The 21,380-nt window shown below is 49.3% G+C and overlaps 3 protein-coding genes across 10 annotated transcripts in view, besides 6 other annotated features; 2 read left to right on the forward strand and 1 right to left on the reverse strand.

The window, feature by feature from the left end:
* TGIF2-RAB5IF (TGIF2-RAB5IF readthrough) overlaps positions 1-14,540 on the forward strand; it is a 38,043-nt gene extending 23,503 nt beyond the window's left edge. Inside the window, exons 3-5 of the mRNA NM_001199535.2 lie at positions 9,698-9,801; positions 11,584-11,713; positions 13,993-14,540. Coding sequence (NP_001186464.1) covers positions 9,698-9,801; positions 11,584-11,713; positions 13,993-14,034 — 276 coding nt within the window. The 3' untranslated portion in view covers positions 14,035-14,540. The remainder of the gene's footprint in view (positions 1-9,697; positions 9,802-11,583; positions 11,714-13,992) is intronic.
* Positions 2,071-2,140: an enhancer, noted in NCBI's record as "active region_17811". NCBI's record gives its function as "activates an Ori minimal core promoter by ATAC-STARR-seq in GM12878 lymphoblastoid cells {active_cell/tissue: GM12878}" and the evidence as "EXISTENCE:reporter gene assay evidence [ECO:0000049][PMID:35858748]".
* Positions 6,636-6,685: an enhancer, noted in NCBI's record as "active region_17812". NCBI's record gives its function as "activates an Ori minimal core promoter by ATAC-STARR-seq in GM12878 lymphoblastoid cells {active_cell/tissue: GM12878}" and the evidence as "EXISTENCE:reporter gene assay evidence [ECO:0000049][PMID:35858748]".
* Positions 6,677-7,076: a silencer, noted in NCBI's record as "fragment chr20:35233097-35233496 (GRCh37/hg19 assembly coordinates)". NCBI's record gives its function as "represses an EF-1alpha promoter that drives an FKBP-Casp9 reporter gene in an ReSE screen in K562 erythroleukemia cells {active_cell/tissue: K562}" and the evidence as "EXISTENCE:reporter gene assay evidence [ECO:0000049][PMID:32094911]".
* Positions 7,416-7,555: an enhancer, noted in NCBI's record as "active region_17813". NCBI's record gives its function as "activates an Ori minimal core promoter by ATAC-STARR-seq in GM12878 lymphoblastoid cells {active_cell/tissue: GM12878}" and the evidence as "EXISTENCE:reporter gene assay evidence [ECO:0000049][PMID:35858748]".
* Positions 7,756-8,065: a silencer, noted in NCBI's record as "silent region_12876". NCBI's record gives its function as "represses an Ori minimal core promoter by ATAC-STARR-seq in GM12878 lymphoblastoid cells {active_cell/tissue: GM12878}" and the evidence as "EXISTENCE:reporter gene assay evidence [ECO:0000049][PMID:35858748]".
* On the forward strand, positions 7,762-14,540 carry RAB5IF (RAB5 interacting factor). 7 transcript variants are annotated; one of them, NR_164351.1, is made up of 5 exons: positions 7,762-8,048; positions 9,698-9,801; positions 9,852-9,983; positions 11,584-11,713; positions 13,993-14,540. NR_164351.1 is itself a non-coding variant. In NM_001199534.2 (4 exons), exons 1-4 carry the CDS (start codon positions 7,935-7,937, stop codon positions 14,028-14,030), a joined length of 414 nt encoding a protein of 137 aa, NP_001186463.1. In that variant the 5' UTR covers positions 7,762-7,934; the 3' UTR covers positions 14,031-14,540. The 7 variants fall into 7 exon arrangements, 4 of the variants coding, with proteins under 4 accessions (NP_001186463.1, NP_001361107.1, NP_061328.1 ...); NR_026562.4 differs by having other exon boundaries at positions 9,873-9,983; NR_164350.1 differs by lacking the exon at positions 11,584-11,713 and having other exon boundaries at positions 9,873-9,983.
* Positions 8,907-10,106: an enhancer, noted in NCBI's record as "MED14-independent group 3 enhancer chr20:35235327-35236526 (GRCh37/hg19 assembly coordinates)". NCBI's record gives its function as "activates an origin of replication core promoter dependent on BRD2, BRD4, P300/CBP and CDK7 cofactors, and independent of MED14, by STARR-seq in HCT116 cells {active_cell/tissue: HCT116}" and the evidence as "EXISTENCE:reporter gene assay evidence [ECO:0000049][PMID:35650434]".
* Positions 14,301-21,380, reverse strand: part of SLA2 (Src like adaptor 2) — a 33,879-nt gene continuing 26,799 nt past the window's right edge. The window contains exons 6-8 of one of the 2 annotated variants that reach the window (NM_175077.3): positions 17,208-17,357; positions 16,288-16,370; positions 14,301-15,969 (exon numbers count right to left, since the gene is read on the reverse strand). In NM_175077.3, coding sequence (NP_778252.1) covers positions 15,952-15,969; positions 16,288-16,370; positions 17,208-17,357 — 251 coding nt within the window. In that variant the 3' untranslated portion in view covers positions 14,301-15,951. Of the gene's footprint in view, positions 15,970-16,287; positions 16,421-17,207; positions 17,358-21,380 lie in introns of both variants that reach the window. The other variant, NM_032214.4, reaches the window with a different exon arrangement.

Below are 21,380 nucleotides of genomic sequence, written 5' to 3' on the forward strand. Positions count from 1 at the left end.
AAAAAGAGAAGAGTTTAGCATAATGGTTAATGGTTAAAAGCCCAGCCAGGTTTTGGATGAAAACGAATGTAGCCAGATGCAGTGGCTTATACCTGTAATTCCATCACTTTGGAAGGCCGAGGCGGGTGGATCACCCAAGGTCAGGAGCTTGAGACCAGCCTGGCAAACGTGGCAAAACCCCATCTCTACAAAATACAAAAATTAGCTGAGCATGGTGGCAGGTGCCTGTAGTCCCAGCTACTCCGGAGGCTGAGGCAGGAGAATTGCTTGAACCCAGGAGGTGGAGGTTGCAGTGAGTTGAGATTGTCCCACTGCACTCCAGCCTGGGTGACAGAGTGAGACTGTCTCAAAAACAAAACAAAACAAATGAATGTAAAACATTTAGTGAAGTGACTGGTAGCTAGTGAGGGTTCATTAAGTGCTAGTATGACATTTATTGTGGGCCAAAAAGAAAAAAAAAGACCAGGATGCAATCTCAGACCTCCATTCCAACAACAGGTGCTCTTTCCATGGCTGATGGTTGCCCCCAGGATTTCTGATACCTGTGATCCATCAGTGCCTGTGAGGGGCCAGTCTTACCCCTCAGAATATACCTTCCTCTCCAAACCCCACTCCAAGCAGCTGGCAGTGCTATCGAGGCATTCAGCTGGGAAATAGCCCTAAGGCTGAGCTCATGTGTTCAACTAGTACTAAACAGCTACAAACTCACAAAGACAAAATTTGTCCTACTTCCAAATCTGTCTCTCCCACTTTCAAATCTGACCCTTCATCAAGTTATTTTCCAACTCAGACCACCCAAGATGTTTATTTTAACCAGACGGATTCACTGAGATTCAGCCAGGTTCCCCGCTTCCTAAGATAAGGAAAGCCTTGGGTGAAAGCAAATAGGGAACAAGTCTGAGTCCCAAAAATACCTTTTAGACAAGGGCTTCCCCTCTGGCTGCCAGCTTAGCTTTGTCTGCTCCTAGAGAGGTAAGAGGAGGAACAGGGATCAGGTTTCAGATGCCTGTTGAACTTCTAACTTCCCTTATGACCTTGGGCTACACTGCAGGATTTGAGGACCCTTCCAACTAGAACTTTCTGTGACCTCTCCCAATCCCATGCAAACATAATGGCTCTTGGAGTTACGGTCAGAGCTTCGCAATGTAATACAAACATGACCTAGAGCCGGACGCAGTGGCTCATGCCTGTAATCTCAGCACTTTGAGAGGCTGAGGTGGGCGTATCACTTGAGGTCAGGAGTTCGAGACCAGCCTGGCCAACATGATGAAACCCCGTCTCTACTAAAAATACAAAAATTAGCTGGGCATAGTGGTGGGCACCTGTAATCCCAGCTACTTGGGAGGCTGAGGAGAATCCCTTGAACCTGGGAGGTGGAGGTTGCAGTGAGCCAAGATCGTACCACTGCACTCCAACCTGGGTGACAGGGCGAGACTCTGTCTCAAAAAAAAAAAAAAAAAGAAAAAGAAAAAACAAATATGACATAAAAAAATACTGTCTAATGAGATGCTCAATCATTACTAATCACTAGGGAAGTGCAAATCAAAACCACAGTGAAAATACTACTTTGCACCTAGTAGGATGATTATTAACAGCAGAAAAAGGCTGAGCACGGTGACTCACACCTGTAATCCCAGCACTTTGGGAGGCCGACGCAGGCGGATCATGACGTCAGGAGTTCCAGACCAGTCTGGCCAACATGGCAAAACCCTGTCTCTACTAAAAATACAAAAATTAGCTGGGCATGGTGGCGGGTGCCTGTAATCCCAGCTACTTGGGAGGCTGAGGCAGAAGAATCGCTTGAACCCAGGAGGCGGAGGTTGCAGTGAGCTGAGGTTGTGCCACTGTACTCCAGCCTGGGCAACAGAGCGAGACTCCTTCTCAAAAAAAAAAAAAAAACATGTATCTCCGAACCCTTGTGCACTGCTGGTGGAAATGTAAAATGCCGCAGCTGCTGTGGAAAACAACACTTCCTCAAAAAATTAAAAATAGAATTACGATATGATCTAGCAATTCCACTTCTGAGAATATGCCCAAAATAACAAAGCAGGGACACAAACAGATATTTGTACACTCCAATTCATAGCAGCATTATTCAGAATAGTCAAAGTGTAAGCAACCCAAATGTCTATCAGTAGGTAAGCAACATGTGGTATGTACATACAACAGCTTTAAAAAGGAAGGAAATTCTAACACATGCTACAACGTGGGTGAAACTGGAGGACATAATGCTAACTGAAACAAACCAGTCACAAAAGGACGAATACTGTACTCCTATGAGATACCCATTAGAACAGTCAAATTCCTACAGAGAAAGTAGAATGGAACTGGTTTCCAGGGACTGGGGAAATGGGAGAATGAGGAGTTATTTTTAATGGGTACAGAGTTTCAATTTTACAAGGTGACAAAGTTCTGAAAATGGATGGTGGTGATGGCTGCAGAACAAAGTGAATACACTTAATGCCACTGAACTGTACACTTAATAAGTGTTGAAATGATAAACTTTGTTAGATATATTTTACTAAAATTTAAAAAACAATTTTTTTTTTTGAGAGAGTCTCTCACTCTGTCACCCAGGCTGGAGTGCAGTGGTGTGATGATCACAGCTCACTGCTGCCTCTACCTTCTGGGCTTAAGCAAGCCTCCCACCTCAGCCTTCAAATAGCTGGGACTACAGGTGTGCACCACCATGCCTGGCTAATTGTTTTTTTCTTTCTTTTTTTTTTTGTGGAGACGGGGTCTCCCTGTGTAGCCCAGGCTAGTCTTGAGCTCCTGGGCTCAAGTGATCCTCCTGTCTTGGCCTCCCAAAGTGCTGGGATTACAGGCATGAACCACCATGCCAGGCCCTTAAAAATATTTTTAATTTGGTTGGGTGTGGTGGCTCACACCTGTAATCCCAGCACTTTGGAAGGCTGAGGCAGGCAGATTGCCTGAGCTCAGTAGTTCAAGACCACCCTGGGTAACACAGTGAAACCCCATGTCTACTAAAATACAAAAAATTAGCCAGGTGTGGTGGCGCACACCTGTAATCCCATCTACTCCAGAGGCTGAGGCACGAGAATCACTTGAACCTGGGAGGCAGAGGCTGCAGTGAGCTGAGATGGTGTCGCTGCACTCCAGCCTGGGCGACAGAGCGAGACTCTGTCTCCAAAATAAATAAATAAGTAATATGTTTAATTTAAAAAAGAACGGGCTGGGCATGGTGGCTCACGCCTGTAATCCCAGCACTTTGTGGGGCCGAGGTGGGTGGATCACCTGAGGTCAGGGGTTCGAGACCAGCCTGGCCAAACATGGTGAAACCCTGTCTCTACTAAAAATACAAAAAAAATTAGCCAGGCGTGGTGGCGGGCGCCTGTAATTCCAGCTACTCGGGAGGCTAAGGCAGGAGACTCGCTTGAACCCGGGAGGTGGAGGTTGCAGTGAGCTGAGATCATGCCACTGTACTCCAGCTTGGGCAACAAGAATGAGACTCCGTCTCAAAAAAAAAAAAAAAAAAAAAAGAACTGTTGAATCCAGTTTTCTGCATCTTCAGTGCCCTCACCAACTCTCACCTAAATGACTTTAACAGCCTTTTAACTAGTCCCCCATTCTGATCCAGTCCCCCAAATAGCAGCAAGCATGATCCTTCTAAGATGCAAACCTGATGGCTTCCCCTACCCCTGGATAAGAAGCAAACTCTTCAGCATGATTCTCCCGTGCTTCCCCTCTGGTGGCTTCATTCCTTACCATTAGCCCACATGGTTTCATTTCCCTAAATGTTATCTCCCACCTTCACCTCCCTCTTTTCCTTCTAATGTCTTCCTTCAGAGTTTACCCTTCCCTAATCCCCCCAGATCAGGTTCCCCATTATACATCTTCACCAGGGGGAGACCTGGCAGAGTGAAAACTTACCTTTAGGCCAAGGGCTAGTCATTCTTCCAACATTCTGTGACAGATTCATTAGTTTGTCTTCTGAACTACATGCCAGCAGGGAGTCTGTAAAAGAGGTTTTGTAACAATGGTACACTTCCAAACCAGTCAGTTTGGAAGCTCTTGGCCCTCTGAAGTTTCCCTGAAAATCAGTGATATGAGGCAGATTGATTACCAGGAAAAAAGGCATACAATTTGATTTAACGTGTATACACAGGAGTCTTCAGAATGAAGACCCAGCTCCCCAACTCCCCAATAAGGTACAGAAGCTTCTTTTTTTTTTTTTTAGATGGAGTTTCGCTCTTGTTGCCCAAGCTGGAGTGCAATGGCACGATCTCGGCTCACTGCAACCTCCGTCTCCCAGGTTCAAGCAATTCTCCTGCCTCAGCCTCCTGAATAGCTGGAATTACAGGCACATGCCACTACGTTCGGCTAATTTTTTGTAATCTTAGTAGAGATGGGGTTTCTCCATGTTGGTCAGGCTGGTGTCGAACTCCTAACCTAAGGTGATCCACTCGCCTCGGCCTCCCAAAGTGCTGAGATTACAGGTGTGAGCCACTGCACCCGACCAGGTACAGAAGCTTCTGTACCATCTTGAGGTTACAGAAAGAATGGGGGCTTGGATCCTGGTAGAACAGGTTATGGGAAGGGGGAGCAAGGAATTTTACTGAGGGACAACAAATGATTATTAGGAAGAATGGATCAGAAACAGAAATTAACCTGTAAATAGTTATCTTTGGAATTTAAATTATTCTTGGAGACAGTCATTACCTTGAAAAAGGGTCTGTTCAGGTGTGGTTACACTGTCTTCTCTTCTGCAATAGAAAGCGAGATAGCTGGGTGTGGTGGCTCACGCCTGTAATCCCATCACTTTGGGAGGCCGAGGCGGGCGGATCACGAGGTCAGGAGATCAAGACTGTCCTGACTAACACGGTTAAACCCTGTCTCTACTAAAAATACAAAAAATTAGCCAGGCATGGTGGCGGGTGCCTGTAGTCCCAGCTACTGGGGAGGCTGAGGCAGGAGAATGGCGTGAACCCAGTCAGCCGATATCGCGCCACTGCACTCCAGCCTGGGCAACAGAGCGAGACTCCGTCCCAAAAAAAAAAGAAAGTGAGATAACAGGGAGAGGAACAAGAACTCTTCTCCTTGGTGGGTCAGTCATATCTTTATGTAGATACGGGAAAAGTCTCTTCCAGCACCTTGATTAGGTTTTCAAGTTCAGATATTCATTATGCTAGGCACAGTGGGTCATGCCTGTAATCCCAACACATTGGGAGACCGAGGTGGGAGGACTGCTTGAGCCCAGGAGTTCAAGACCAGCCTAGGCAACATAGTGAGACCCTGTCTCTACAGAAAATTAAAAAACAAAAACAAAAAAAAACAAACCTGTCAGGGTGTGGTGGCTCATGCCTGTAATCCCAGCCCTTTGGGAGGCTGAGGCAGGCGGATCACTTGAGGTCAGGAATTTGAGACCAGCCTGGACAAGATGGCAAAATCCCATCTCTACTGAAAAATACAAAAATTAGCCAGGTTGTGGTGGTACGCATCTGTATTCCCAGCTTCTGGGGAGACTAAGTCAATAGAACTGGTTGAATCTGGGAGGCAGAGGTTGCAGTGAGCTGAGATCATGCCACTGCACTCCAGCTTGGGCGACAGAGTGAGACTCTGTCTATAAAAAAAAAAAAAAAAATCTTAGCCAGGTTGGTGGCATGTGCCTGTGCCTGCAGCTCCAGCTACTTGGGAAGTTGAGGTGGGAAGATCGCTTGAGCCCAGAAGATCAAAGCTGCAGTGAGCCCTGATCATGCCACCGCATTTGAGCACGGGCAACAGAGTGAGACCCTGTCTTAAAAACTAAACTAAAATAGTCATTATACTAGGGAGCCATATTTTGGGGTAAAATATTTTGATTTCCTTCAACTGGCTAAGCTTTACCATTTCATATGGGAGGGAAACTGGATCAGAAAAGAGGCAGGGCTGAAAAGAACAAGACCCACGGGGAAACTTAGGACAAAAGGAGTGCACCCATATAACGTATACGGCCCTTCCACCAGTTCCAGACAGTAACGTGATCACAGTATGTTTCACCTTGGGGGTCCAGCCCCACTTAATCTACTGAAACAATGTCAGGGTGGGCTTGGGGTGGAAAACAGCAGCTATAGTATTCTGGAAAAGCTCTCTAGGAGGTTTTTTGTTTGTTTTTTGTTTTGTTTTTGAGACCAAGTCTTGCTCTGTTGCCCAGGCTGGAGTGCAATGGCGCGATCTTGGCTCACTGCAACCTCCACCTCCCAGGTTCAAACAATTCTCATGCCTCGAGCCTCCTGAGAAGCTGGGATTACAGGTCCCCACCACCACGCCCGGCTAATTTTTTTTGCATTTTTAGTAGAGACGGGCTTTCAACCATGTTGGCCAGGCTGGTCTCGAACTCCTGACCTCAAGTGATCCACCGACCTCGGCCTTCCAAAGTGCTGGGATTATGGGAGTGAGCCACTGCGCCTGGCCTCCCTAGGGAGGTTCTATTACTCCTGAAAAGTGAAGAATTACAGGTGAATGTTGATAGGTATGCAAAAGATACTCTGACCTGTTTAAAAAAAAAAAAGATACTCTCAGCTTTAAAGTTTAACGGTTAAGAGCACAGATTCTGGAGTCAGACACACCCAGGTACCAGATACATTACTTGTCTTTATAAATCCACTGTCCAGAGGCCGGGTGAGGTGGCTCACGCCTGTAATCCTAGCACTTTGGGAGGCCAAGATGGGCGGATTGCCTGAGCTCAGGAGTTCGAGACCAGCCTGGGCAACATAGTGAAACCCCCGTCTCTACTAAAATACAAAAAAAACTAGTGGAGCGTGGTAGTGGGCGCCTGTGATCCCAGCTACGTGGGAGGCTGAGGCACGAGAATCGCTTGAACCCGGGAGGTGGAGGTTGCAGTGAGCAGAGACCGTGCCGTCTCAAAAAAAAAAAAAAAAAAAAATCCACTGTCCAGAAGGGATGTGCCTTGGTCTCTGGACTTACCAGCACAGTGAGCCTGGCACCACCTGGAGGGCCACCGGAAGGAGCCCCATCCCCAGGGGTTCTGAGTCAGTAGGCGTGGAATGGGGGCCGAGAACCTGCGCCTCTACCCAGTTCCCAGGCGATACGGCCGCTGCTGATCCGGAAGCTCACTTTGTGAACCACTGACGCAGCACATGGTGAGGACGCTGTATGTGAACACTCAGATATCCTGATACCTAACCCAATCCTTGTATTTGCCGCCCAGGAGTCCCCGGTTGGGTCCACCTTGCTATACGGCCTCAGAATCTCATTTCCTCTTTTGGGGTCTCAGGGCTCTCGTGTGCCAAAAGAGGGTGCTGGGCAAGATGAAATGGTTAGTTATTACAGAAGAGTTAACATCTTCAACAAGGCCCTACAGAACTTGCAGGGTTAGGGGAGAAAATAAGCGGGCTAAATCCTGTGGGGCAGCTTGGAGCTACCCTGGAGCAAGGTCTGGGCTCAGCAGGCGAGTAGGTCGCAAGGAAAGGTAGAGCCGCTCCTGCCCCACTCGCTGCTCGAGGGGCAGCTGTGGCCGACTGGGCGACGCTGACGTCCAGCCTCGGTTTTCCCCTACCTCCTCGGTCTCCACAGCGCCTCCTGGCGCCCATGTCACCGTTCTACCAAGATTGTCCCTCCCCTCACACCTTACCGCGAGCCCGGCGGATGCTGACGTCATTTCCGCCACGAGTAGCGCGCTTGCGCCAAGGCGCCGGTCGCTGTTTCACTCGGATGGCTTCGCGGTCGCCGATTGGCTGCGTGAGCACGTCGGCGGGAGGGCGCGCGACACTGCACCGCCCCTCCCTTCGCGGCGCCTGCTCTGTAGAGCCGGCGGAACCGGGTAGCTTGGCCAGGTTGTGAGGAACCGCAGCGCGCCGCAGGACCGGGCCGCTGAGCCTGCAGCCGCCCCGCGCCGTGACCTGCGACCCTAGACCCCGACTCCCTTTGGCTCAGCCCGCGCGCCCCAGGCCCGGCCCGGGCGGCGCGACGGGAGGATGAGCGGCGGGCGGCGGAAGGAGGAGCCGCCTCAGCCGCAGCTGGCCAACGGGGCCCTCAAAGTCTCCGTCTGGAGTAAGGTGCTGCGGAGCGACGCGGCCTGGGAGGATAAGGTACGGTGGAGTCTGAACAGGGCGCGGGTGCGAGGAGTCGGCTGGGACTCGGGGAACGGAAGACTGGCGCGGGCCTGCCCTCGTCCTCGTTCCGGCACAATCGAGTAGGGCAGTGGGGCGGGTGGCCCAAGGGTGTCAGAGCAAACTTGGCGGGCACTGGGCGGACAGCTGGGCTTGGAGCTCCCCGAAGGGTGGCCTAAGGATGAAGCCCCCTAGTTATGCGGAATTGGCGAGGAGCGGGGAGAGGCGTTGTCATTCGCGGGCAGGGTTTGTGCCTGAACTGGGAAAGGGAGCTGAATTCGATTCGGCCTCCGCCTTTTATGTGCAGTAGGGTTTTGAGTAGGTTACTTGTTTCTTTCGAATTAAGTAGCACAAACATTAACAGTAACAGACTTCTGCTGAGAATGCTTTCTACGTGCCAGGTGCTCTGCAAGCGGAATCTCGTTTAACTCAGAATAACTCTGAAGTGGGGTACTGTGGTACATTAAAGCCTTTTGCACATAGTGAGGCTCGCTAATCTTGAGCTGCTGTTGCTTGTTGAATGTAAAGGACCGAATACTTTGATAAGCATGAGTCAAGAGGGGAGACTGAGACCACCCGCTGGGTGAGTGTGAGGTGTGGGGGTGGAGAAACGCCACCAGATATGTGCGAGAATTGGTTGGGACTTCAGAACGTTCTTACTCGTCCCATTCGGAGGATGCTTCGTAACTCTGCTCCATGATCTGGAAGGGGCCATCACAAACAGCTTGATTCCAGGTAGCTTGAAAAGCGTATTATATTTGCAGTCATTTCTTGGTTTTCTGGGCTGCCGAAGTGGATTTTCCTTCCTGAAGTTCCTGTAAAGGGGGATGGGAGGCACTTCCTGAAGGTGCCCTTGTTCTGCCCCCAGCCCTGCCCAGCTCTTGCAAAACCTGCAGTCTCTAATCTGCTGTGTCATTTCTTTCTTTTCTTGTATAAGGACTGGTTTCTGGAATCTAGGGCAGATCAGAAACCTGAGTCGTCTGTGTTCTTCCATTAAACTTAAATATAGTGGCACCTGCCTCCAGCATTTATGGTTCTAATCCGTATGTGCGGCCAGTAGCACAATTATTATCACAGTCATTTCATTACAGGCCATATTATATATGCACCTCTAGAATTTTGATTTAGAGCACAGATTCTGGAAGTGATCGCTTAATGATGTCTAAATGTATCTTTTTTTTTTTTTTTTTTTGAGACGGAGTTTCACTCTTGTTGCCCTGCAACCTCCACCTCCCAGGTTCAAGCAATTCTCTTGCCTCAGCCTCCCAAGTAGCTGGGATTAAAGGCGCCCGCCACAACACCCGGCTAATTTTTTGTATTTTTAGTAGAGACAGGGTTTCACCATGTTGGCCGGGCTGGTCTTGAACTCCTGACATCAGGTGATCCACCCGCCTCGGCCTCCCAAAGTGCTGGGATTACAGGCTTCAGCCACCACGCCCAGCCCCTAAATGTATCATTTCTACCACATTTTAGTATAAGTAAGAGGTGAAACAGGAAGCACATACTGTTGCCTTTGGGGGGAAACAAATTTCCTGGATATGTTTAGCAGAAAGGTTTAATATTCTCCCCTTTTGCTGTCTTGTGGCACCCACTCCAGATAATTCTTGCATTTTCTGTCTTTTCTACAGGATGAATTTTTAGATGTGATCTACTGGTTCCGACAGATCATTGCTGTGGTCCTGGGTGTCATTTGGGGAGTTTTGCCATTACGAGGGTTCTTGGGAATAGCAGGGTAAGTCTTGGGTATCTTATATTTTCATGGTATCATTTCTTTTTAAATAGAGGCTTTTTTTCCTGTTACAGGAAAGGCCATTGCTGCTCTGGAGCTGTGTGTGTGTGTGATGACTAAAGCAAAGAAGCAGCCCTACAGTGGCACTCCTGGGTCTGGTGCACCACTCCTCAGGAGCATCTCAGGTCAGGCAGGTTACCTTCCTGCCTTCCTGAAGGCTGGGCCAGTCCATTCATTCATGGGTCTAAAGTGACCTCATGCAAGAGGCTATGACTACTTGTTCGTGGCATGCACTCTAGTTCTGCTGTGACCTTTGTACCTGTGCGAGTTTGGGAAGTAGGAACTTCTGTATTTGACGACCATTTCCCTTGTTCCTGGCACAGTGCTTAATGTCCTAAACCTTGGCTTTGGTAGAAGTTATTTCAGGTCCCTCCATTTTGTTTTTTTGAGATAGGGCCGCACTTTGTTGCCCAGGTGGGAGCACACTGGCACCATCACAGCTGACTGCAGCCTCGACCTCCTGGACTCAAATGATTTTCCTGCCTCAGCCTCCTAAGTAGCTGGAACTACAGGTGTGAGCCACCACACCTGGCTAATTTTTAAAAATTTTGTAGAGACAAGGTTTCTCTACATTTCCCAGGCTGGTCTTGAACTCCTGGGCTCAAGTGATCCTCCTTTCTTGGCCTCTCAAAGTGTTGGTATTATAGGCATGAGTCAGCAGGTCTGGCATCGGTCTCATTCTTTTTTTTTTTTTTTTTTTTTTTTAAAGACAGAGTCTTTCTCTGTCGCCCAGGCAGGCGTGTACTGGCGTGATCTCGGCTCACTGCAACCTCTACCTCTCAGGTTCAAGCAATTCTTCTGCCTCAGACTCCCAAGTAGCTGGGACTACAGGTGTCTGCCCCCATGCCCGGCTTATTTTTTGTATTTTTAGTAGCGACGGGGTTTCGCCATGTTGGCCAGGTTGGTCTTGAATTCCTGACCTCAGGTGATCCGCCTGTCTTGGCCTCCCAAAGTGCTGGGATTATAGGCATGAGCCACCATGCCCGGCTCATTGCTGTTCCTAGCCCCCTAATTGATGGTGAGCTGAGGGCAGGAACAGTCATCTTTACGTTTGCATCCCGTAGCAATAACAGACAGTGGATATCCAGAAATGGTCTCCCACTGGGAGTTATACAGGGGGTATACTGTTGCTTGCTCAACTAGGCTACGAAGCAGCAGCTTCACATGTTTTTCTCCCATAGCCACACCCTAGCTGGAGCTACCTGGAGGCCCATGTCAGGTCCCGCTTGGGATGGCTTATCAGCCATTCTGTTACTTCAAGGGGCTTTGGAGAACTATATTACACACACACACACACACACACACACACACACACACACGCACACACGCACACACGCACACACGCACACACACACACACACACACACACACACACACACACTATATATAGAGTTTCGCTGTTGCCCAGGCTGTAGTGCAGTGGAACAATTTCGGCTCACTGCAACCTCTCCGCCTCTGGGTTCAAGCAGTTCTCCTGCCTCCACCTCCTGAGCAGCTGGGATTACAGGCGCCCACCACAATGCCCTGCTAGTTTTTGTATTTTTAGTGGAGATGGGGTTTCACCATGTTGGCTAGGCTGGTCTTGAACTCCTGACCGCAAGTGATCCGCCCACCTCAGCCTCCCAAAGTGCTGGGATTACAGGTGTGAGCCACCACACCCGGCCCCGAGTTCTGAGTCTTCTAAGCTTTCAATTTATGTTTGGTACTTGTTCTCTGTTGCTCCAGATTCTGCCTGATCAATGCAGGAGTCCTGTACCTCTACTTCAGCAATTACCTACAGATTGATGAGGAAGAATATGGTGGCACGTGGGAGCTCACGAAGGAAGGGTTTATGACCTCTTTTGCCTTGTTCATGGTATGTGTAGCTGATAGTTTTACAACAGGTACTGTTCATTTCATGAGGTGTCACTCACAGGAGGGGACCCCACTGATTGAGTTACACTGTGTGAGCAGGGTGCTATTTTTCTAAAGGCTTCTGAGGCTCAGGGCCATGGCCTGTGTTGAGCCACATCCCAGAAGATGTGGTCTGATATACTGTACAGTCCCCTGTAATGTGTAAATCCAGGGCCCATCGTCAGCTTCTACATCTGATTCTCAAGCCTGGCTAGATATTAGAAACTAGGAGGGCTGAGCATGGTGGCTCACGCCTGTAATCCCAGCATTTTGGGAGGGCAAGGCAGGAGGATCACCTGAGGTCAGGAGTTCAAGACCAGCCTGGCCAGCGTGGTGAAATCCCATCTCTACTAAAAATACAAAAAATTAGTTGGGTGTAGTGGCGGGCGCCTGTAATCCCAGCTACTCCGGAGGCCGAGGCATGAGAATCGCTTGAACCCGGGAGGCGGAGGTTGCAGTGAGCCAAGATCGCGCCATCGCATTCTAGCCTGGGCAACAAGAGGGAAACTCCATCTCAAAAAGGAAACTAGGAAATATTTTTCATAATAGCTAAAAAGTACAAACAGTCCAAATGACCATCACTTGATGAATGGATAAGATACTATGTATCCATACAGTAGAATGTTATTTGGCCTTAAAAAGGAATGAAGTGGCCGGGCGCGGTCGCTCACACCTGTAATCCCAGCACTTTGGGAGGCCGAGGCGGGCAGATCACAAGGTCAGGAGATCAAGACCATCTTGGCTAACATGGTAAAACCCTGTCTCTACTTAAAAAAATTAGCTGGGCATGGTGGCGGGCGCCTGTAGTCCCAGCTACTTGGGAGGCTGAGGCAGGAAAATGGTGTGAACCTGGGAGGCAGAGCTTGCAGTGTGCCGAGATCGCGCCACTGCACTCCATTCCAGCCTGGGCAACAGAGCGAGACTCCGTCTCAAAAAAAAAAAAAAAATGAAGTCCTGATACATGCTATATAACATGGATGAACCTTAAAACATCATACTAAGTGGAAGAATCCAGACACAAAAGACCATGTGTTGTGTAATTCCATATGCAAAATCTCCACAGTGAGCAAAGCCATAGAGGCAAAAAGTAGATTAGTGGTTGCCAGTGGCTGGGAGGAGGGGATGGAGAGTAGCTGATAAAGGAAACAGGCTCTTTTTGGAGTAATGTTTTGGAATCAGTGGTGATGTTTGCACAACTGTTCCTATACAGAAAGCCTCTCAACTGTACGCTTTATTTTTTTGACACAGGCTCACCATTTCACCCAGGCTGTAGTGCAGTGGCGCAGTCTTGGCTCACTGCAGCCTCTGCCTCCCATGCTCAAGTGATCCTCCCACCTCAGCCTCCCGAGTAGTTGGGACTACAGGTGTGAGCCACCATGCCCGGATATTTTTTGTATTTTTAGTAGAAATGGGGTTTCATCATGTTGGCCAGGCTGGTCTTGGAACTCCTGACCTCAGGTGATCTGCCTGCTTCCGCCTCCCAAAGTACTGGGATTACAGGTGTGAGCCACTGCACCTGGCCCATTTTTTTTTAAATTATACTCATGGCCTGGCATGGTGGCTCATGCCTGTAATTATAGCACTTTAGGAGGCTGAGACAGGCAGACTGCTTGAGTCCAGGAGTTCGAGACCAGCTTGGGCAATATGGTGAAACCCATCTCTACAGGGGAAAAAAAAAAATAGCTAGGAGTGGTGGTGTGTACCTGTTGAGTCCCAGCAGGACTCAAAAAAAAAAAAAAAAAAAAAACCACAAAACCTTATGTGTCCAGACTCTAACCCAAACCAATAAAATCTTTTGAGATGTAGTGCTGGGGCATCTATATGTTTTTTTAAAAGAACCAAGAGATTACAATGGGTAGCCAAGGTTTGAGAATCCCTGCTTTGATATGCAGCTGACAAGTTATAGTATTTTCACATTGGTAGTCGCAGCACCTGCTAGCAGTGTAATATGCTTTACTTGAATCATTTCCACATCTGCACCTCAATTCCCTGGGCCTGGGGTTGCCATTTGGTAGGGGAGGAGCTTATCAGGAGTTCCTTTGCAAGTGCAGGAGGGCAGTCCTGGGTTCTGTTAGTGACAGCGTGATTTCAGTGAAATAATTTAGACCCCCCAAGCAGACTGTGCAACGGATAGCCCCTGGAGAGTGCCCCGTGTTTACATTCTCATCTGGCATTTTTGTTTTGTGGAATCGGCCTGTGTTAAGCCAGGTGACCTATGAACAGTGCTTGTCTCCTCACTAGGTCATTTGGATCATCTTTTACACTGCCATCCATTATGACTGATGGTGTACAGCTCCCAAGTGCTCCCTATCCAGTCCAAAGGACCCTCTTGATTACAGCACAGGAACTTGATCGTTGGGGAACCCCAGCCCCTTGGAACTTGGAAGACCCGTGTTTCCTGGACCGCGAATCAGTGTGTTGGGCATCAGTGTTTTCTGCAAGGGTTGTGACCTGAAACTTTTTAAAAACCACCCACCTTTGGGGAAGCATTTCTGAATTTATCCATCACCAACCATTTCTTCTTGGATACCATCAAGTAACAGCTATTATTTGCCAAGTGGAGCTGTCATTTAATTTGATGCACCTCTGGATTCAGATGAAACATTAAATTGTCTTCCTCGATTCTCCATCGGGTGTAGAGTTTTTAAACTATCAATGGCATTTCAAGTCTTCTGAAACAGCATGGCTGTATGTGCGTGGTCCATAGCACAGTACATGCAGCATCTAATAAGAGTTTCCATTGTAGAATGTTTTCACATACTTGAATAAATCAAATCTTTAATTGAGAACCTGTTGATGATACCTGATAAAGCCTTTCCCACCCCACCTGTAGCTTGGGAACCAGTAGGAGCACTGGAGGGGGTGCCTCCCACCCCATCCCTCTTTCTTCCTCTCCCTGATCCCTTAGCGGATCCAGCAGACCTCTTTCTGTTTATGGAGGCAGCAGGGAAATCAAGGGCTGGATTTGGTGTAGGCTGTGGTCTCCGTCTTGGCATTGTGGAGAGAGGGCTTAGCACCTTCTGATGCCCCTGCCCAGCACTGAGGTGCCTGGCCTCACTGCAGTGTGCTAGACTTAAGAGGTGTTATTTTTTATTCGGCCACAAGATGGCAAGGCCAGTGTGCTAGGGAATGGTAAGCCACAAAATGAAATAGAGATCTGAGAGCTAGGCTGGGTGCCGTGGCTCACACCTGTAATCCCAGCACTTTGGGAGGCCAAGGTGGGTGGATCACCTGAGGTCAGGAGTTCGACACCAGCCTGGCCAATGTGGTGAAACCCCATGTCTACTAAAAATACAAAAAAATTAGCCAGGCATGGTGGTGTACGCCTGTAATCCCAGCTATTCTGGAGGCTGAGGCAGGAGAATTGTTTGAATCCAGGAGATGGAGGTTGCAGTGAGCTGAGATCGTGCCATTGCACTCCAGCATGGGCAACAGGGCAAGACTCCGTCTCAAAAAAAAGAAAAAGAGCTGGGGCTGTTGTCCTCAATGGGGGACATTTGAGGACCTAGACTGTCCGAAGTCTTTCTCTTTGCTCTGGAGGTCACATAGAGCCTGGACCATCCAAGATCTGCTGCTACGGTAAGACATCATCTCAGCTTTCCTTTCCCTTCTAGGCCACAGTCCTACCTTCTGAGGTATGGTGGTGGTCTCAACGAGACTTGTAGATTTTCTGAAAATGACTTTCTCGTTGACTCTAGGGGTTGTTTCTACCTTGTGGGTGGGGCCTGGTTAATGGTGGGGATGTAGAATGGGGCTCAACAGGCAGGGCATCCAGATGGTACTGGAAACCCCAAACTCAAGAACTAACTAGGTCAGACCCCCCAGGAGGCTTATTCTCTTTTTGGAACCCTGGCCCTGGTCCCACCTTCTCTGCACTCGCACTAGAGGTCGCAGGTGGGATCATGGCACTGGAAGGAAGTAGGTGACTTCTAAGGGCTAAGAGAGGAAAGAGCAAGGGTACAGGTGGGACCCTAGATGCACCTCTGTGTCCCACCCTCCCTCCCTGAGTGCACAGCCTTGCCTCTGGGGTGCCCAGGAGGCTGAATTGGGGTTCTAGGTGTGCAGCCTTGGTTTCCCTTTTGGCCTCTCCTTTGGGCCTAGGCATCATCCAAAGAGACAGCCTCGTCATTCAGGCTGATGTAGAAGCTGAGGGACTCCCGGAGACCCTCACTGAGAAGAGACTCCTCCCCTGTGGCAGCTTCAGAAAACAGGAGGGAGCTGTGGACAAAGGAAGATAATTGGGTCAAGAAGCCTCTTCCTCCTCCCTGTACTCACTACACACAAAATTGCACTGTTCTCAAAACCCTTCACTCCTGCTGAGGACCTCATGGGGCTCCCCTGTTCCCTATCAGATCAGCTTCCCCAGCCCCACCTGTCGAGCCTGGGCCGTGCTCCAGGAGTTGAGTCAGTGCACTCTGGCTCCAGCTGCCAGGTGTCCCTGAGTGTGACAGGTACATTCCGGGTTGTGGCTTCCCAGGGGTGGGTCCTTCTAACTCTTGGTCCTGCTTTCATGTTTCCAGGAGTCCCCAACTTTACCTGTCCAGCTCTTTCCAGTTGAGTGGTGTCCTCTGCACAGTCACAGGTAGGGGTATATCCTTGCCAGGGAGCGGGCCAGCCCTCTGCAGGACACAGGGCTCCTTGAGTAGGCAGCAGATGTCATCCGCCAGCTCTGAGGAAGAGACCTCCATCCCTGACATGACTGACTCCACCCTACTTCTCCCCAACAGCCCTCACCCTGACAGCCCTCTGCAGTTGGCAGGAGGGGGCATGGTTACCAAAGAGTGATAGGACATGAGCCCCAAGCTATTGGTTTCATGGAGACAGATGTAGTCAAAGGTCTTTCTGGGCTAACTTTTGGGAGACAGTCACTGTATGATTTAGGGTGAGTTCATGGACCTCTTGAGCTCAAGTTTCTGGTTAGGAAATTGCTTTGGGAAGAAGAAAGCTAAGGAATGCTCAGTCTACTTCTACTCACTGTCTACTTCCACACAGAGTGACCTGCAGAAAACCCCTAATGAGTTTTCACAAGAGTGCTCTTCCCTCTCTGCCCCCTGACGCTGTGCCCAGTGACTGCATCTTCCAGTGTCTGTTGAAGGACAGGCACCAGGAAGTACTAAGGAGAGTCAGGATTGAATCCCACACAGCAGCAGCTCTGTGCCCGGTTCCTGTGGAGAGAACTCTGCCTGCTGCCAGGGGCTCTGAGTCAGAACCAGAGTGGTAGGCAAGGTACTGACCTGAGCCTACACAGGAGGTCTGTGGCTTTTCTGCCAGGGCACGAGGTGAAGACAGGGCTCCCAGCCTGCATTTCTTGGCATAGGGACTGGCGTGAAAATAGGGGAGGCCGCTCTTCTGTCTGTCTGAATACTCCACAGTAGGTAAAATATCCAAGGGCACCACTGCCTGCTCCTCCCCACAGACTATCCCAGCCTAGTCCTGGAGGCAGGGAAAGGCCATACCAGAGTAATGGTCCACCAGGGCCTGGAGTGAGGGGAAGGTGAGGCGCGGTGAGATGTACAGCCAGCCATTGTCAAGGCAGTGGATCCTGTAGTGTCTGATCCGGTCCCAGGATGCAGGGCGGCTGAGGCGGACTGACAGAGAGTAAGAGCCTGAGGAGAAAGGGGTCCAGGGGTGGCACTGAGGCCCTGCTGGGACTCGGCCCCACCTAGGCTGGGAAACGAAGATAGGCAACGTGACCATGGGGCCCCGGCAGAAGGGAAGTGTCTGGGGCAGAAGCAGGACAAAGACTTGCTCTCTTGGTCATCAATAATATGTTCATAATAGATGGGGGTCTTGTGAGGGTGAAATCAAATCACACACAGAGCCCTCAGTACAGGGTCTGGCACTGTGTGAGTGAACATTCAGCGTTGGCTGTTCTTACAAAGACTCAGGTGGCAGATATGTTAGGATGCAAAAACACTGTCAAGAAGATGCTGGCAAGGAAGTGGAGAAGTAGGACCTCCCACCCTGCTGGTGGAAGAGAAATTAGTACGAGCCACCTTGGAAACAGTTTGGCATTAACTAGATGAGCTGAACATGCACGTACCTTACAACCCAGCAGTTCTTCCCAGGCACAATACCTCAGAAGCACACAAGCAATATGCACAGCGGCATTGTTTGTAAAAGTCAAAAACGGCAAACAGCCCGTTTGTGCTCAAGAGTAGAATAAATTGTGGATTATAGAGTGTAGTGCTATACAGCAGTAAAAATTAATAACTGCTACATATAAGCATAAGGAAATCTTGGAAATTAAGCAGAAAAACATTACAGAGCATACATTCAGCCTGATTCTATTTAAAGTTCAAAGATAGCCAACATGACATTATATGTTGCACAGGCACACACGGCAAAGCTCTGAAGAAAAGCAACTGAATGATTAACACAGTGAAGCATGAGAGGGGGCTACAAAGGGCTTGTTAGGTAATTTCAGCTGGCAAGTGGGCGCGTGGATGTCAGTTTTATTAGTGCTGCTCAACCTACATGTATACATTACATACACTGATGAATGACAGTTTCACCAGCTTTGCATGTTTCATTTTTTCATTTTTTTTTTTTATTTTAATTTTCTTTTTTTTTTTTTTTGGAGACAGAGTCTCCCTCTGTTGCCCAGGCTGGAGTGCAGTGGTGCAATCTCGGCTCACTGCAACCTCCGCCTCCTGGGTTGAAGTGATTCCCCCGCCTCAGCCTCCCGAGTAGCTGGGACTACAGGCGCCTGCCACCACCACGCCCGGCTAATTTTTTGTATTTTTGGTAGAGACAGGGTTTCACCATATTTGCCAGGCTGGTCTCGAACTCTTGACCTCGTGATCCGCCTGCCTCAGCCTCCCAAAGTGCTGGGATTACAGGCATGAGCCACCGCGCCCAGCCAGATTTTAATTTATTTTTAGAGCCATGCTCTCGCTCTGTTGCCCAGATGGCGTGCAGTGGCATGATCACAGCTCCTGGGCTCAAACAGTCCTCTTGCCTCAGCCTCCTGAGTACTTGGAATTATAGGCGTGAACCACCCCGTGCCTGGCCATATAAGCACATTTAAAATATTAAAACAGGCTAGGGGCAGTGGCTCACGCCTGTAATCCCAGTTCGAGACCACCCTGGCCAACGTGGTGAAACCCCATCTCTACTAAAAATACCAAAGTTAGCTGGGTGTGGTGGTGCACACCTGTAGTCCGAGCTACTTGGAAGGCTAAGGCAGGAGAATCACTTGAACCCAGGAGGCAGAGGTTGCAGTGAGCCGAGATTGTGCCACTGCAGTCCAGCCTTGGCAACAGAGCAAGACTCTATAAATAAATAAATAAAAAACCCAAGGCCGGGGACGGGTGCAGTGGCTCACGCCTGTAATCCCGGCACTTTGGGAGGCCGAGGTGGGCGGATCACCTGAGGTCAGGAGCTCAAGAACAGCCTGACCAATGTGGCGAAACCCTGCCTCTACTAAAAATACAAAAAAAAAAAAAATTAGCCAGGTGTGGTGGTGTGCGCCTGTAGTCCCAGCTACTTGGGAGGTTGAGGCAGGAGAATTGCTTGAACGCAGGAGACAGGTTGCAGTGAGCCGAGATCACACCACTGCACTACAGCCTGGGCAACAGAGCGAGACTCCATCTCAATTAAAAAAATAAATAAACAAGGCTGGGCAGAGTGGCTCATGCCTGTAGTCCCAGCTACTCTGAAGGCTGAGGCAGGGGGATTGCTTGAGCCCGGGAGGTGAAGGTTGCGGTGAGCCAAGATTGTGCCACTGCACTCCAGTCTGGATGACAGAGTGAGACCCTGTCTCAAAAAAAAAAAAAAAAAAAAAAAATTAAAACAAAAGTTAATGGGCCGGGCGCGGTGGCTCACGCCTATAATCCCAGCACTTTGGGAGGCCAAGGCAGGCGGATCACAAGGTCAGGAGATCAAGACCAGCCTGGCTAACACAGTGAAACCCCATCTCTACTGAAAATACAAAAAATTAGCCAGGCGTGGTGGCGTGCGCCTGTAATCCCAGCTACTCAGGAGGCTGAGGCAGGAGACTCGCTTGAACCCAGGAGGCAGAGGTTGCAGTGAGCCGAGATCAGCCACTGCACTACAGCCCGGGCGACAGAGTGAGACTCCGTCTCAAAAAAATTAGTCCAGGCGCAGTGGCTCAAGCCTGTAATCCCAGCACTTTGAGAGGCTGAGGCAGGCAGATCACGAGGTCAGGAGATCAAGATCATCCTGGCTAACACGGTGAAACCCTGGCTCTACTAAAAATATAAAAAATTAGCCGGGCGTGGTGGCGGGCGCCTGTAGTCCCAGCTACTCGGGAGGCTGAGGCAGGAGAATGGCGTGAACCCAGGAGGCAGAGGTTGCAGTGAGGCGAGATCGTGCCACTGCACTCCAGCCTGGGTGACAGAGCGAGACTCCGTCTCAAAAAAAAAAAAAAAGGCTAAAAGTAAAAAGATGGAAAAAAGATATATCATGCAGACAACCATAAGTAAGCTAGAATGGCTTATTAATGGGAGAATGTTAGTGGGATATTAATATCAGACAATAGAATTCAAAAGACTGGAGTGCAGTGGCATGATCTTGACTCACCACAACCTCCGCCTTTCAGGTTCAGGTGATTCTCCTGCCTCAGCTTCCCAAGTAGCTGGGACTACAGGCACGTGCCACCATGCCCGGCTATTTTTTTGTTTTTTTAGTAGAGATGGGGTTTCACTATGTTGGCCAGGTTGGTCTTGAACTCCTGACCTTGTGATCTGCCCACCTTGGCCTCTCAAAGTGCTGGGTTTACAGCTGTGAGCCACTGTGCCCGGCCAACAAATTTAAAAGGATTGAAATCATTAAAAATATGTTGTCTGGCCACAATGGAATTAAATTAGAAATTAATAAGGAAAAGGTATCTAGGCTGGGCGCAGTGGCTCAAGCCTGTAATCCCAGCACTTTGGGAGGCAGAGGCTGTTGGATCACCTGAGGTCAGGAGTTCAAGACCAGCCTGACCAACAAGGCAGCCTGACCATCTGTACTAAAAATATAAAATTAGCTAGGTATGGTGGCACATGCCTATAAATCCCAGCTACTTGAGAGGCTGAGGCAGGAGAATTGCTTGAACCCAGGCAGCGGAGATTGCAGTGAGCCGAGATTGTACCATTTCACTACAGCCTAGGGAACAAGAGTGAACTCCATCTCAAAAAAAAAAAAAAAAAAAAAAAAAAAAGTATCTAGAAGCCAGGTTTGGTGGCTCACGCCTGTAATCCCAACACTTTGGGAGGTTGAGGTGGGCAGATCATTTGAGGTCGAGAGATTGAGATGCGTCTGACTAACATGGTGAAACTCCATCTCTACAAAAAATACAAAAAAATTAGCCAGGCTTGGTGCCAGTAATTCCAGCTACTTGGGAGGCTGAAGCAAGAGAATTGCTTGAACCTGTGAGGTGGAGGTTGCAGTAAGCTGAGATCACGCCACTGCACTCCAGCTTGGGCAATGGAGTGAGACTCTGGGGGAAAAAAAAAAAAAAAAAAAAAAAGGCTGGGTGCGGTGGCTCACACCTGTAATCCTAGCACTTTGGGAGGCTAAGGTGGGTGGATCACCTGAGGTAAGGAGTTCAAGACCAGCCTGGCCAACATGGTGAAACCCCATCTCTACTAAAAATACAAAAATTAGCCAGGCATGGTGGCACA

The sequence above is a fragment of the Homo sapiens genome, chromosome 20 (assembly GCF_000001405.40).
Source record: "Homo sapiens chromosome 20, GRCh38.p14 Primary Assembly".
Classification (NCBI taxonomy): domain Eukaryota; kingdom Metazoa; phylum Chordata; class Mammalia; order Primates; family Hominidae; genus Homo; species Homo sapiens.

Excerpts from the sequence above, each read along its gene's own strand:
- RAB5IF (NM_199483.3), top strand. The coding sequence starts at position 7,935 with ATGAGCGGCGGGCGGCGGAAGGAGGAGCCGCCTCAGCCGCAGCTGGCC. Across the intron at positions 8,049-9,697 it reads ACGCGGCCTGGGAGGATAAG|GATGAATTTTTAGATGTGAT; the intron begins GTACGGTGGAGT and ends TCTTTTCTACAG. Across the intron at positions 9,802-13,992 it reads GGGTTCTTGGGAATAGCAGG|GTCATTTGGATCATCTTTTA; the intron begins GTAAGTCTTGGG and ends TCTCCTCACTAG.